The 15013-nt window shown below is 36.6% G+C and overlaps 1 long non-coding RNA gene and 1 pseudogene across 1 annotated transcript in view, besides 1 other annotated feature; both read left to right on the top strand.

Moving 5' to 3' along the window:
- LOC105374928 (uncharacterized) overlaps positions 1-14077 on the top strand; it is a 106762-nt gene extending 92685 nt beyond the window's left edge. The window contains exon 5 of the long non-coding RNA NR_187824.1: positions 12584-14077. This is a non-coding gene — a long non-coding RNA (uncharacterized LOC105374928). The remainder of the gene's footprint in view (positions 1-12583) is intronic.
- THAP12P5 (THAP domain containing 12 pseudogene 5) lies at positions 4145-6342 on the top strand (annotated as a pseudogene).
- Positions 5006-5055: an enhancer, noted in NCBI's record as "active region_23989". NCBI's record gives its function as "activates an Ori minimal core promoter by ATAC-STARR-seq in GM12878 lymphoblastoid cells {active_cell/tissue: GM12878}" and the evidence as "EXISTENCE:reporter gene assay evidence [ECO:0000049][PMID:35858748]".
- Positions 14078-15013: the final 936 nt, after the last annotated feature.

The following is a 15013-nucleotide window of genomic DNA, read 5'->3' on the forward strand; positions in this document are numbered from 1 at the left end:
TTGGAGGTAAACTTATACTTGAAAGAAGGAAATGGCCATGTAGTTTTCCTGTTTTGATACAACATTTTGCTGGAGGGTAGGCCCTAGTTGCAGCTTTCTTGGTGGGTAAAACTCCAGTAGAAATCCAGTCTTATTGGCTTGGAGAACCACAGGACAGATTTTGGAGGCCATGGCAGCTGGAGATTGAGGGGGAAACCCACAAAAGGTAAAAGCCATGGGTGGGGCGGGGCAAGGGGGATTCTATATATGAACATGGATAAAATCTCTGGCTGACCCCTGTACTACATATGCACAGGGATAACTCCAAATAGGCCTTATGAGTCTAAAATAACTGAATTGAGTTTTCAGCTGCTCCACTCCACAAAAAACAGGATTGGAGTTTGAATTAAAGTTAAATTAATTGCCTGCTTAAAAACAAAAACAAAGAAAACAAATTCCTCAAAGGGACATAACAGATTCCAGTGTCCCTACAACACATCATTCATAATATTCATGTGATCCACAATTACTAGATTTATGAAGAAACAGAGAAATGTGATCTCAAGACAAAAGGCAAATAAGTGAAGACTGACACTGCGATGACCCAGAGGTTGGAATTAGCACATAGGGATTTTAAAACAACTATTATAACCATTCCAAGGATTTAGAGAAAAACATGCTCACAATGAATGAAAGGAGAGAAAATTTTAGCAGAGGAATCAAAACTACAAAAGAGAAACAAATGAAAATCCAAAAAATTTTTTAAAACCTGTATTTAAAATTTGCAAGATAACTTTAACAGTAGATTAAAATGAGAAAGTCAATAAATTTGAAGATAGAGCAATAGAAAGTAGCTAACCTAAAAAAAACAAGAGAAAAGATTAGAAAAAAGTAGAGTCTCAGTGATCTGTGGAAACAATGTGGAAAGGTCTAGCATATGTGTAGTTGTAGTCTCAAAAGAGGAGAGAGAGCAAAAATATTTGAGAAAATAATTGGAAAATATTTCCCAAGTTTGGTGAAAGGCATACATTTACAGATATAACTATAACAAACCCAGTGAAGCCCAAGCAGGAAAAATACAAAGAAAACCACATGTATGCACATTAGAATCAAACTTCTCAAACCATGGTTAAAGAGAATCTCTTGAAAACAACCACAGATTAACCACAGATTAACATATTCCATAATGTAGAATGATATGAAATAACAATAATTTCTTATCAGAAACAATGGACACAAGGAGACAGTGGAATGACATTTCTAAAATGGTGAAAGGAGGAAAAAAGTCAACTAAATGCAAAAAAAAACATTTGAGGATGAGGGCAAAATAAAGATTTTCAGGTAAATGAAAATAATTTTTATTAGCAGACCTACAGTACAAGAAACACAAGGGAAATTCTTTTTTTTTTTTTTTTTTTTTTTTTTGAGACAGAGTCTTGCTCTATTGCCAGGCTGGAGTGCAGTGGTGCAATCTCAGCTCATTGCAACCTCCGGCCCCTGGGTTGAAGCGATTCTCCTGCCTCAGCCTCCTGAATAGCTGGGACCACAGGTGTGAGCCACCACGTCCAGCTAACATTTGTATTTTTAGTACAGACGGGGTTTCACCATGTTGGCTAGGATGGTCTCAGATCTCTTGACATCGTGATCCGCCCACCTTGGCCTCACAAAGTGCTGGGATTACAGGCATGGGCCACAGCGCCTGGCTAGAAACACAAAGGAAGTTCTTTAGGCAAAAGGAATTAATGCCAGGTGGACACTCAGTCTTTAGAAAACAATGCAGTGCCCCAAATGATATATAGGTGGCTAAATATTAAGATTTGTCCCTTTCTCCTAATTTGTTATAAATAAACATGACTAAAGAAAAATCTATATTTGCTTTAAACCCCACATTGTATTGTGGGATTGATAACATTTTTAGATGAAGTACATATGACAACCAAAACAGAAGAAGTAAATGAACCTCTATTTTCAGAAAGATTCTGCTTTACACAAAATGGTCCAATATTAAATCTAAGTAGGCTGTGAAAAATCAAGAATGTAAACTATGACCCCTAGAGCAACCACTTGAAACAATATAAAGTTATATAACTAAAAAGCCAACAATTCATTAAAAAATAATTCTCAAAAAAATTGAATTAAACAAAAAAAATTGAGAAAGTAGTAACAGAATTTAAAAACAAAAAGCAGGCAGGACCAACAGAAAATAGTAGTAAAACTGTTGGTCTAAACTCAACTCTGTCAATAATTCAATTAAATGGAAATGAACTAAATGCTCCAATTAGAATTCATAAATTCTCAAAGGAGATAAATGAGTAAGATTCAACATAGTTTCTCCATTAGAGATGAACTTTAAATATAAAAATACAGATATGTTGAAAGCAAATGACAGGAAAAGATTTATTATGCAAACTGTAAGCCTAAGAGGGCTGGATTGGCTATATTAATATCAGATGTAATAGATGCCACAAGACAAAAAGTAAAAACAGACATACTGTAATAATGAATAAATTTGCATAAAGACACAATAATTATACATGTATATGGGCCTAATAAAACAGGTTTAGGATACGTGACATGAAAGAGTAACATAATTAAAGGGAGAAAGAGACAACTCCACAATGATAGTTGGAGATTTTTTGTGCCTATTCTGCTTATGTAATATAGTTGGAGATTTTAACATTTAATAACAGCAATTGGCAGAACAAGTAGATAAAAGATCTGAATAATGCCTTCACTCTCCTTTACCTAATTGACATTTATAGAACACTACACCCAACAATTGCGGAATAAACATTATCTTCAAGTAACATGTAATGTTTACCAAGATAAACGAAATGCTGGGCCATGAAACAAGTCTCAGCGCATTTTAAAGATTAAAATAATGCAGACAATGTTTTTGGACCACAGTGGAATTAAATTAGAAACCAAAAACAATAAGATGTCAAAGGAGGATAAAATTCACATATCTGGAAATTTAAACACATATTGTCTATAATCCATGGGTCAAAGAAAAAAGTCATAAGACATATTAAAACTATTTCAAACTGAATGATAATGAAAATATATCAAAATTTGTGGAATACAGCTAAAGTAGTGCTAAAAGAGAAATTTATACCTTTTAAATGCTTAGGATAGGAAGGAAGAAAGGTATACAATGAATGACCTTTGTTTCCACAGTAAGATCCAGAGAAAGAAGAGAAAAGTAAATCCAAAGTAAGTAGAGGGGCCGGGTGTGGTGGCTCATGCCTCTAATCCCAGCACTTTGGGAAGCCAAGGTGGGAGGATCACTTGAGGTCAGGAGTTTGAGACCAGCCTGGCCAATATGTTGAAACCCTGTCTCTACTAAAAATACAAAAATTAGCCGGGCGTGGTGGCACATGCCTGTAGTCTCAGCTACTTGGGAGGCTGAGGCAGAAGAATCTCTTGAACCTGGGGGTTGGAGGTTGCAGTGAGGTGAGATCTTGCCACTGCACTCCAGCCTGGGCTGCAGAGTGAGACTCTGCCTCAAGACAACAACAATAACAACAAAAACAAAGAAAGTAGAAGGAAGGAAACAATAAAGATATTATAAGAGGAGGAAAGTATGAAACAGAAAACAGACAAATGATAGAGGAAATTAATAGGTATAAAACATTTTGGGGTTTTTCTAGGGGAAATGACATTAAAGTTTGACATGCAGAAGAAAAGAGAAATCACCAATATCAGGAATAAGTATGTGAATATATTACAGATCCAACAAACATGAACAAGTGTATGCTAATAAATTCAACAACTTAGAAGGAATGGACATATTTTCTGAACAATACAACTTACTAAACTGACACAAGATGAAATAAAAATTCTTAACTAGTCCTATATATATAAAAGAAATTGAATTTGTTATCAAAATCTCCCTCTGAACTCTGTTAAACATTTAGGTAAGAAAAAAATAACAATTTTACACAAATGCTTTCAGAAACCCAGGAGGAAGAAACACATCCCAGTGCATTTTATGAAGTCAGCCTGATCCTGATACTAAACTTGACACAGACATTTCAAATAAAGAAAATGAAAACACGAGTCATGTTAAGTTGATTTTCTTTCCCCATCACTAACAGGAAGGCAGGAGGGCCTGAGTTTGCGGGTAGGGAGTGCGGGCTAGCTTGCTGGTAGGGCTACAACATCAAACTTGTATGCAGTTCCCAACTGCACATGGAAGAAAATGAAGCCCAATCTGGCCTTCAGGTTACTACAAGACCTTGAAAGAAGCCTGAGGTGGGTGAAGAAATGTAGAAAAATTAACTTACAAGGTAAAACACCTGATTGGCTGAGTAAACATTATTGTCAAACACTTTGAGAACTCTATGATTTATAAAACTAGTACTTACAGAAGAGTTATTTGCAATTATGCTATGCCAGCAATGGTTGATTTTACTGGTCATCTGAACAATCCACATGGTGGACATTGAAAATAAATAAGATAATTGTGATAATTAAATCAGGACACAAATGGAAAAAATGATGAAACTCCTGAATAGAAACAAACCAATAAAGAAACAACAGCAATACACAGAACTCCAATGCCGAAGAAGAAAGTGAAGAACAAAATGAAGGCATTTCACCCCTAAACTTTGAAGAGAATAAAAACAAAGATCACTTAACATTTTTATTTGAAGTTTGGTTTTTACAAAATACACCTTTGGATGAAAATGAGGCTGACCAAATCTCAAAGGGTTTCTTTTCTCCTTTTAATGTTTAAGCACTGCTGGAGTTCAGGGTACTTTCTGGTGAGGCAGTCCTGAGAAAGTTCTTTGAAACACATTATTCAGTTTGAAAACACAACAGAAACAGGTGCTTGAGATCTACAAGAGCTGCACTGGGAAGAAACGGGGAAGTGAGAGATTCACTTCTTTCCTACTGTCGCTAATATGGAGGACATAGCTGAGAAAAAGCAATCACCGGTATTGGTTAGGCTCACTGATGAATCTCAGGGCCAGAGAGAAGGATGTGGGATTTCTCCCTCCTGAAGCTGATGCAGGAAGTTTGGCTGTGAAATGTCACACTACAATAACTGAGAAGTGGGAAATGAACAAGGAATTCTGGTGTGACCTGGCTTAGATTATATCTAGTAGACTTTCTTTCAAAATGGCAATCATGGTAACTAGAACTTTAGAGAAATAATCCCAACATATCTCCACACCTTGCTCTTCCTCTGCCTTAAATATGCAGAAGTCGAAATCAGTTTTCTGTTGTGGGAGGATCATCTATTGCTTTGGGAGCAATTAAAGATGTTCTTTTTTTCTGTTGATCACAAGAGTTTTAGAGCTCAATAATATAATGTCTGTCCTCTTTCAGAACAACAAAGAAAAGGCAAATGAACTGAAGGAAATCTGCTATTCACAATGTACAGGCATGCATGATGCTTTTGAAATGTTTTTGCTAGCAATTGTTTTGTGTTTAGATGATATAAAGGTTGACACAAATGTTAGATGGAATACCTTTATAGCTGGTTGAGCTTTTGTTCTCTGTAGTGCATTAATGTTTTGATTTAATTATAAATTGTTGTTCATAAAAGTATCCTATTTTCAGAAAGACCATCTGGAAAAAATCTCCAGGGCCACACCTCTGATGTCTTCTTTGCAATAGGCAGCTTGACTGCAGCGTTGCATTGCAGAAAGAGATTGAAGATATTTACATTTATTGTAAATTTTGATTTGAGGAAGCCGCAGGGTTGACAACCATACTTGATGCTGAAATGCTGGGAAATTCCTCAAGGCTCAGCAAGATAATCTAGAATCTAAATTAACCACAGAGAATTACTATAAAGAAATAGTGCTCCACCATGAGGCACATTATCCATGACCTTAAAGACATTTTCTTAGAACAGTACCTCACAGTTCCTAAATGTTCTTAAACAGTCAAAAGCAGTTCACTGGTGGCCTCGGTCATAGAACAGCTTACACTGAACACCATGCCAATGTGTACTCAGCTGACTTATTCAATCCTGATACATTCTCTGCCAACCTTCATTGTTGGAGGTTAAGGCCAAAACGCAGAAAAAAAGACAAAGAGCTTCCACCCACCACGTATAAAACTCCCTATTTATCTCACTTAAAGTTTTTTTTTCTTACTGTCTACATGTTACTGAAGGTCCTGTGTATTCTTCCTTTTGATGAAGTTTGAGAATGAAAGCTATGAAATTGGATGAAAGTGTCTCAAACCACAACTAAGAAGCACTTCAACGGACCAGAGGTCAAGTAACTTTACACTGCTTAACATAAATGTTGATATAAAATAGGATCTTAATTTAACAGTAGACACATATATAAAAAAGCTATACATAAAGCCAGAACTTCCTACAAGTACCTAAAAACCACTGAAAATGCCTAATAGTTTTTCTTTTTATATCTGATATTTAGAGGAAAAGCTGTGAGTTGTATTTTGGCCACTTAATCACTGAATATTTACCCACGGACCTTTCACTGAATATATTAAACACTAAAAACCTGCTGTTGAGTGGCCACTATTTGAACTTTCTTTCTTTGAAGACTTTTCCTTTCAGAATTTAGCATTAAAAGAACATTCCATTTCTGTTGTTGGCAAGCTAGGGATATTTTAGTAAAGTAATTTTGAGCATAATGTCATGAATCTAATTACCAGGTATTATTAAGTTACCAGTTGTTTTAAAAAGTAAATGTTAAGGAGGTGTGAGGAGAAGGAATATATTTTATAAAATATTACAATAAAGCACAGGATTGACCATTGACTAATGGGTGTTTTAGTGTATTGTTAGAAATATGGAAAGGGTAGTTAAGGAAATTACCAACCAGCAGCAGAAACTGTGAACTCACCAAACCGAGATTTCAATGTAGATTTCGTCTTTTTTATGTGGCCATAAAGACAGAATTAGAGTTTGGATAGAAAGTAATCCAAAGATGTTCCACATCTGGTTGTTTACATTCATTTGTTGGGTTTACATCTTAACATGTTCAAAGGAAGACATACAAGTGACCCAGAAACATATTTTAAAAAAGCACAACATCACTAATCATCAGAGAAATGCAAATTAAAACCACAGTGAGATATCATCTTACACTAGCCAGAATGGCCATGATTAAAAAGCCAAAAATCCAACAAGTGCTGATGAGGATACAGCAGAAAGGGAACACTTATATACTGTTGGTGGGAATGTAAATTAGTACAACCTCTATGGAAAACAGTATGGAGATTTCTTAAAGAACTAAAAATAGAACTACCATTTGATCCAGCAATCCCACTACTAAGTATCTACCCAAAGGAAAATAAATCATTATACTAAAAAGACAACTGCACTCATATGTTTATCACAGTACTATTCATAATAGTAAAGTTATGTAATCAACCTAAGTATTTATCAATGGATGATTTGACAAAGAGAATATCATATTATATATACATATATATTACGTCTCAGCCATAGAAAAGAATGAAATTATGTCTTTTGCTCAACAAGGATTGAACTAGAGGCCATTGTCCTAAGTGAAATAACTCAGAAACAGAAAGTCAAATACTGCATGTTCTCACTTCTAAGCGGGAACCAAACAATGGGTACACATGAACATACAGAGTGGAATAATAGACACTGGAGACTGTAAAGGTGGGAGGGTGGGAGGAGGATAGGGTTGAAATATTACCTATTGGGTACAATGTTCACTATTTGGATGACAGGTACACTAAAAGCCCAGACTTCCCCACTATGCAATATATTTATGTAACAAAACTGAACTTGTATCTTCTAAATCTAAATAAATACATACATAAAACCCTAAAAAAACACTAAGTAAACTAAGAAAAGATGGAAATTTCCTTGACCTGATAAAGGATATTTATGAAATTCTTATAGTTAATATAATGCTTAGTGGTGAAAGACTAACCGTATTCCCTTCAAGATTGGACTCAGGGCAAAGATGTACCCTCTTAATGTTGTAATAGAAGTCCTAGCCTATGAAATAGGGCAAGAAAATGAAATAAAGAATATAATGTTTGTTGATGTAGAAAATTCTAAGGAACGTATAAGCAACCACTAGAACTAATAAGCAAATTTAACAATATTACAGGATACATGGCCAATACTCCACAATCGTCCTTTTATGTACTAGCAGCAAACAATTGAAAAATTTTTAAAAATCCACTTACAATAGCAATTAGAAATATGTAAAATACTTACAAATAAATTAAATAAAACCATACAAAATTTCTACACTAAAAATTACAAAACATTGTTGAGATAAATTAAGGAAAACCCAAATAAATGAAGATATATACTATGTTCATGGATTAGAAGACCCAAATGAACATGAGAAAGAAAAAGACAATTGAAAGATTTACCCTATCTGAATTCAAAATGTGCTAAAGTTAATCAAGATAGTATATGGTATTGGCATAAGGTCTAACAAATATCAATGGAACAGAATAGAGAGCTCGGAAACAGACTCACACTTACACACTCAATTAATTTTCAACAGACGCACCAAAGTAATTATACTGGGGGCAAAGGAAAATTTTTTTTAACAAAAGGTGCTGAAACAATTGGATATTCAAATGGAAAAGTTTATGCAAAAGGAATCTGAATGTTCATCAATGCTTTTGTCTGGTATGGTAATCTGATGTGTTATCCTTTCCTATTTACATATTGGTAATGTAGTATCAGCTAATCAAAGCACTGTTTCCACTAATATAGTGATATTTCTACTGCAGGGGTACTCTTTTTCTTCTTATAAAAATAATCCTTTTAAATTATAAAAGCAACAGATTTTCACCAACAACAGCTCCAAAAATAACATATCAAGTAAAAATAAAAATAAAAATAAATTCCTTGTCATCACACAACCCAGAAATCACCAAAAGTGACATTTTGAGGTAGTCTTCCCAAAATAGTTTCTTTTGCCCACAGTATATTACTCTAGTGGTCTTCCTAATCTTCTGAATATGATGTCATAAAATTTGTATAATCTCACACAAGAACCATAGGAGACAGGGGAAAAAAACATTTGGATAATGCATTTTTCAACCTAATATTAACTTGCATGTAATTTTTTTCAAGACTTCTTGAGATTCAGTTACTTTTGTATTCATGTACTATGGCAATATTAGCTTTCATTTCATGATTTCTGCATTTTCATTTACTGAAGACATAAATTCTAATTTTAAGTTATATCCGAATTGTACTTCCAATAGACATCTATTTCTGAAGTATCTGCCAAACTTATAATGACTGTTCTTTTATGAAAATAACTCTATTCCCAATCCCCTATCCAAAATGTAACTTTAATGTTAAACAAGCATGACTCAAGGAATTAATTATGAAACAAATTTGTTTTTGTCATCTACTGTCACATTAAGTTTATTGTGCATGCTCCTTTCTTCCCTTGCCCCTGATGAAATTTAGGGCAAGTCACAAAACTGAACATTTCCACATTATGGTTAAAACCACAGAAGCAGTCTCTGGGCAACCAAATTTATAGTAGATAATCAGTTCCATGGCCACAGTTGATTGTTCAAGTTCTGGCAATCTGATTTAACTTGGGCAATTAGGCTCTCACCCAAGAATTTCTAAATTAAGTCCAAGAGTAAAGTTTGTCTCTTCATGTGTCCTGCAGCCATAGCCCACTTTGTAGCCTGAAGACCAGAGAAAGGAAGTCTTTAAGGAGAAAGAAGATAGGAGAAGATGCAAAAAGGAGAAGCAAAGATGTACAAACGTACTTCCTGGATTCTGTCAGCTGTCAGTTGTTGGTTTCACTTCCTTCCAGAACTCCAGTTTCATTCCTGCCTTTTGATTCTGTGAAACCCCTCAATCATTATAATGATTAATAATACCCAACTGCAGGTCGGGCATGGTGGCTTACGCCTGTAATCCCAGCACTTTGGAAGGCCAAGGAGGGCGGATCATGAGGTCAGGAGTTCGAGACCAGCCTGGCCAACATGGTGAAACTCTGTCTCTACTAAAAATACAAAAAATTGGCCAGGCATGGTGGTGCGTGCCTATAGTCCCAGCTACTTGGGAGGCTGAGGCAGGAGAATCACTTGAACCCGGGAGGCGGAGGTTGCAGTGAGCCGAGATTGTGCCACTGCACTCTGGCCTGGGTGACAGAGGAAGACTCTGTCTCAAAAATAATAATAATAATACCCAAATCCCAACCTTTCTTTTTTTTTTTTGGTCAAGTTGAGTTTCTGTTAAAAAGGCTCAAATAATACAAAAATTAATGTGGCTTGTGGGAGGTTTTCTCCTACAAACAACCAACCAGCCTTAATCATGGTCCATATACTTTTGGCTTCACCCATGGTGATAGCCCCTCTTTTATCTATTCCCTCAATCTGAGGGTACATTTTATTTTATTTATTTTTAATAATTTCAACTTTTATTTCAGATTCAGGGGGTATAAATGCAGCCTTGTTACATGGGTGTATTGCATGGTACTCAGGTTTGGGGTATGGATGATTCCATCACCAAGGTAGTCAGCATAGTATCCGATGGGTAATTTTTCAACCCATGCTCCATTACCTCTTCCCTCTAGAGGTCTCCAGTATGTACTATTCCCATCTTTATGTTGATGTGTACTCAATGTTTAGCTCTCAGTTATAAGTGAGAACATGTAGTATTTGGTTTTCTGTTCCTGCATTCACTTTCTTAAGATAATGGCCACCAGCTGCAGCCATGCTGCTGCAAAGGACATGATTTTATTATTTTTTACAGCTACACAATATTTCCTGGTATATATGTGCCACATTTTATTTATCCAGTCCACCATCAATGTGCATCTAGGTTGATTCTACGTCTTCGCTATTGTGAATACTGCTGTGATGAACATATGAGTGCACGTGTCTGTTTTGTAGAATGATTTCTTTTCCTTTGGGTATATATCCGGTAATGGAATTGTTGAGTCAAATGGTAGTTCTGTTTTAAGTTCTTTAAGAAATCTCCAAACTGTCTTCCATAGTGGCTGGACTAATTTACATTTCCATCAACAGCGTGTAAGCAATTACCTTTTCTCCACAGCCTCACCAGCATCTGTTATTTTTTGACTTTTTAATAGCCATTCTGAATGGTGTAAGATGGTATCTCACTGTGCTTTTGATTTGCATTTCTCTGATAATTAGTGATGATGAGCATTTTTTCATATGTTTGTTGGCCACTTATATGTCTTCTTCTGATAAGTGTCTGTTTATGTCCTTTGCCCATTTTTTAATGAGGTTACTTGTTTTATTTCTTGTTGAGTTGTTTTAAGTTCCTTACAGATTCTGGATAGAGTCCATTTTAGCTGTAAACTTCTGGTGCTTCCTGCGCACTCACCAAAGTGCTGAACCTAGAACTACTTAGACCATTTCTGCTCTCATAAAAGTTCAGTGTCAAACTTTTATGTATATTTTCCTGACTAGAGAGAGTAGATTGTCAGAAAATGATTATGATTTGACATTCAGTGACTTCTGTAGATTCTTTTTTTTTTTTTTGAGACGGAGTCTCATTCTGTCGTCTAGGCTGGAGTGCAGTGGTGCAAGCTCAACTCGCTGCAACCTCTGCCTCCCAGGTTCAAGCAATTCTCCTGCCTCAGCCTCCCCAAGTAGCTGGGACTACAGGCGCCCGCCACTACGCCTGGCTAATTTTTGTATTTTAGTAGAGACAGGGTTTCACCATGTTGGTCAGGCTGGTCTCAAACTTCCGACTTCAGGTGATCCACCCGCCTCTGCCTCACAAAGTGCTGGGATTATAGGTGTGAGCTACTGTGCCCAGCCTTTCAGATTCATTTTCAAAAAGTTCTAATTCCTTCTTGTTATTCACGGAAAAGAAATCAGGTTTTGTTTGCCTTACTATTATTTACAATATAGACAATAGTTTTAATACTGTGGGAATGAAGCACTTGAGTATTTTTTGTCTTTTGAATGTCAGTGAGTTCTATTTTCAGAAATTTGGCATGGGTTCAGCATAAATTTATGTGACATATATTTAGTGATTAAGACAAAAAGAATAGCACTCACTGACATTGCTAAATAAAAATTTTCCAGTACTACCAATATAATTTATCTTGTTTATTATAGCTTTAAGAATTTTTCTAGAAAACTGAAGATAGCAGAGAATTAACACAACTCTAAAATATCCTGAAAACTAATTTTTGCTTATATGATTGAGAAAATTATCTTCACATTTCACATTGCAGACTCTGTCTACCTTCAGTGAAATATTTTTGGCTTAGAAAACTAGTGTCTAGAACACATTAGGTTTCAGAAACAGTTTTTTGGCACTTCTGTAAGAAACTCCACTCAACTTATTGTGAAATTGTATTAAGTAAATTAAGTGAAAATTGTTTAGTAAGTATTCAATATTGTGTTAGGTGGTATAGCTATTAAGGGAAAAAAAGATGAGTTGTGGCCTTTGCCCTCACTTGTCTGATAAAATAGTTGAGAAGAGACGTAAAGCAACAATTAATAAAACAGGACAGCTCAGAGTAATGTGTATGCTGATTTTTAGAAGTTCTGAGATGAGAGAGAGAAAGATGGAGCAAATATAAACATAGAAGCTAAGAACAGAGGACACGGAGAGAGCAAGTTCATCCTGCATTTCTGACCACTTTTCTGTTATTCTTTCCTTGAGGCTCCACTGAAATGAATGAAACCTGAAATGGTAGAGAAAACTGCATAGAAGAGGTGAGATTTGATCTGGGGCCTGATGGAAGAGGCAAGATTGGAGAGGATAAAGGGTTGAGTGGATAACATAAGTCACAGCACAGAAATGAGAATATGCTCAGTTTTGCAGAGAAGCAATGCCTAACTAGAGTACAAGTGCATATTGAAGCCATGGGAAATTATACTGGGTGAAGATGGTGGATAAAGAGATGTCAGAGGAGTGTAAACATGAAGCAGCAGAACATAGGGAATGGCTGAGCACAGGGAATAAAAGAATTAAAATTGGGTTTGGAGAGATTAGTTGGTCAAGGTTATGCAAGACACACTGGAAGGGTGGAGACTGGCATCAAGCCAGTTAACTAGGGCATTGCTGTAGTGTTCCTTCCATGAGACAGCAAGGACTTGGGCCAGGACATGTGTGTCAGTGCATATGGTGAGACAGGATGAAAGCTTTTCAAGGAAGAAAAATACCTGGCTTGAGCATGCTGGGCTAGAGATGATGGTAGGACTTCTTGTCTAGCAGGAGTTTGAAGGTATGAGGCTGGAGCTTAGGGGAGAGGGCAGCAGGGAGAAACAGACTGACACAGAAGGGAGAGCCAATGGCATAGAAGTTACAACTGAAACTGAGAATGGAAGAGATTTCAGAAAGAAAGAATGTGAAGGGAAGGACAGAGAAATGTGAGTTGGGAAGCACCCACATTTAGGACATAGGATGAGTAAGATGAGCAAGCGCAAGAGGGAACACCCGGTCTGGAGTGTGAGACTCAGAGTGTGGCCAGAGAACCAAGGGAGCAGAGTGCTAAGGAGGAGGATGTCACCACTAGGGCAGGAAGAAGCTGGATGATCCAGAAGGTGAGGTCCTTTAGGAGAAGAGTTTCAATGGCAATCTGGGACTGGAAACGGGATCACATGGATGAAGGAGGAGCAGCAAGGCGATGGGCCAGTGGTCACATCAAATAGTGAAGCAGTTATGATGACAGGCTCTGATGGTCACAGTACCTGAATCCTGGTTCCACCCAAACTGTACAACTTAACGAGTAGAAGTGTATCTAAGTCCCAGTGCACTGGGTTGAATATGGTCCCCCAAATTCATGTCCTTCCCAGATCAGAATGTGACCTTCTTTCGCAGTAGGGTCATTACAGACATAACTAGTTAAAATGAGGTTATAATGGAGAAGGGTGGCTCCATAATCCAATATGACTGGTGTCCTTATAAGAAGAGGAGAGAGACACAGAGAGAGACATGCACAGGGAAGACACCCAGCGTGATGACAGAGGTAGAGACTGAGGTTATGCAGTTGCAAGCCAAGGAACGCTAAGGACTGCCGGCAACACCAGAAACTAAGAAAAAGGCACAGAACAGAGTCTCCCTTGAGGCTTCAGAAGGGGCTTGCCAACACCTTGATTTTGGACTACCAGCCTCTAGGTCTATGAGAAAATAAATTTCTGCTATTGTAAGCCACCAGTTTATAGTATTTTATTATGGCAGCATCAGGAAACTAATATACTCATCCTTAAAGTGAGGAGAATAACACTTTGCTCATAGGGAGGATTAATATAACATGAAAAATGCTTAACACAGTGTCTGCCCCATAGAAAGAACTCAGTTAAAGCCAGGTGCGGTGGCTCACACCTGTAATCCCAACCACTAGGAAGGCTGAGGCAGGAAGATTGCTTGAGGCCAGGAGTTCGAGACCAGCCTGGGCAACAGAGCGGGACCCCATCGCTAGGGGAAAAAAACGGAACTCAGTTAAATGTTGGCAATATACTGTGTTATTCTTTGAAGAATTTTTATTGTAAGGGAAAGGAAAAAGTGATCTTAGATGAGTCAGGTAAACAATAAAGTGAATGTTGTTTTCAATTTTGTTTCTCTTTTAATAGGAGTTATTTGTGTATATTTAAACACAGAAAATAAATAAGATCTCCAAGGAGAGGAAAATAGCTAAAGAATTGGGAGATGATATGATATCTTCATCGAAGACCAAATCTGGTGCAAATGAAAGATTTCAAGAGATGTGACTGTAAAGTAAAATATTTTTAGTTATGTAGTATTTTACTTTATAGTCACATTTGTATCATTTATAATTCCCAGTTGATATTACCCTTCAGAGAAGACACTCTGGAAGGTATGACTCTTATTCTAATGTTGTTACCATTAGCTCAAATACTTTTGAATTTTCTTCAAAACCAGGTTATGAATTACTCAGACAAAAGTTTTACCTCTTAAGATACACCTCAGTTTTGATCAAAATAAATATTTCCCAGGCTGGTCACTTAACTGACACAACACCAAACAACTTCTGACTATATCCAAACACCAAATCTACCCTCACATTATACACATTAGCACCATTGAGGGCTTTTTTAAAAATGGGCCAAATATTTATCAAAGCTGTTT

Source organism: Homo sapiens, chromosome 6 (assembly GCF_000001405.40).
Source record: "Homo sapiens chromosome 6, GRCh38.p14 Primary Assembly".
In the NCBI taxonomy this organism is placed as follows: domain Eukaryota; kingdom Metazoa; phylum Chordata; class Mammalia; order Primates; family Hominidae; genus Homo; species Homo sapiens.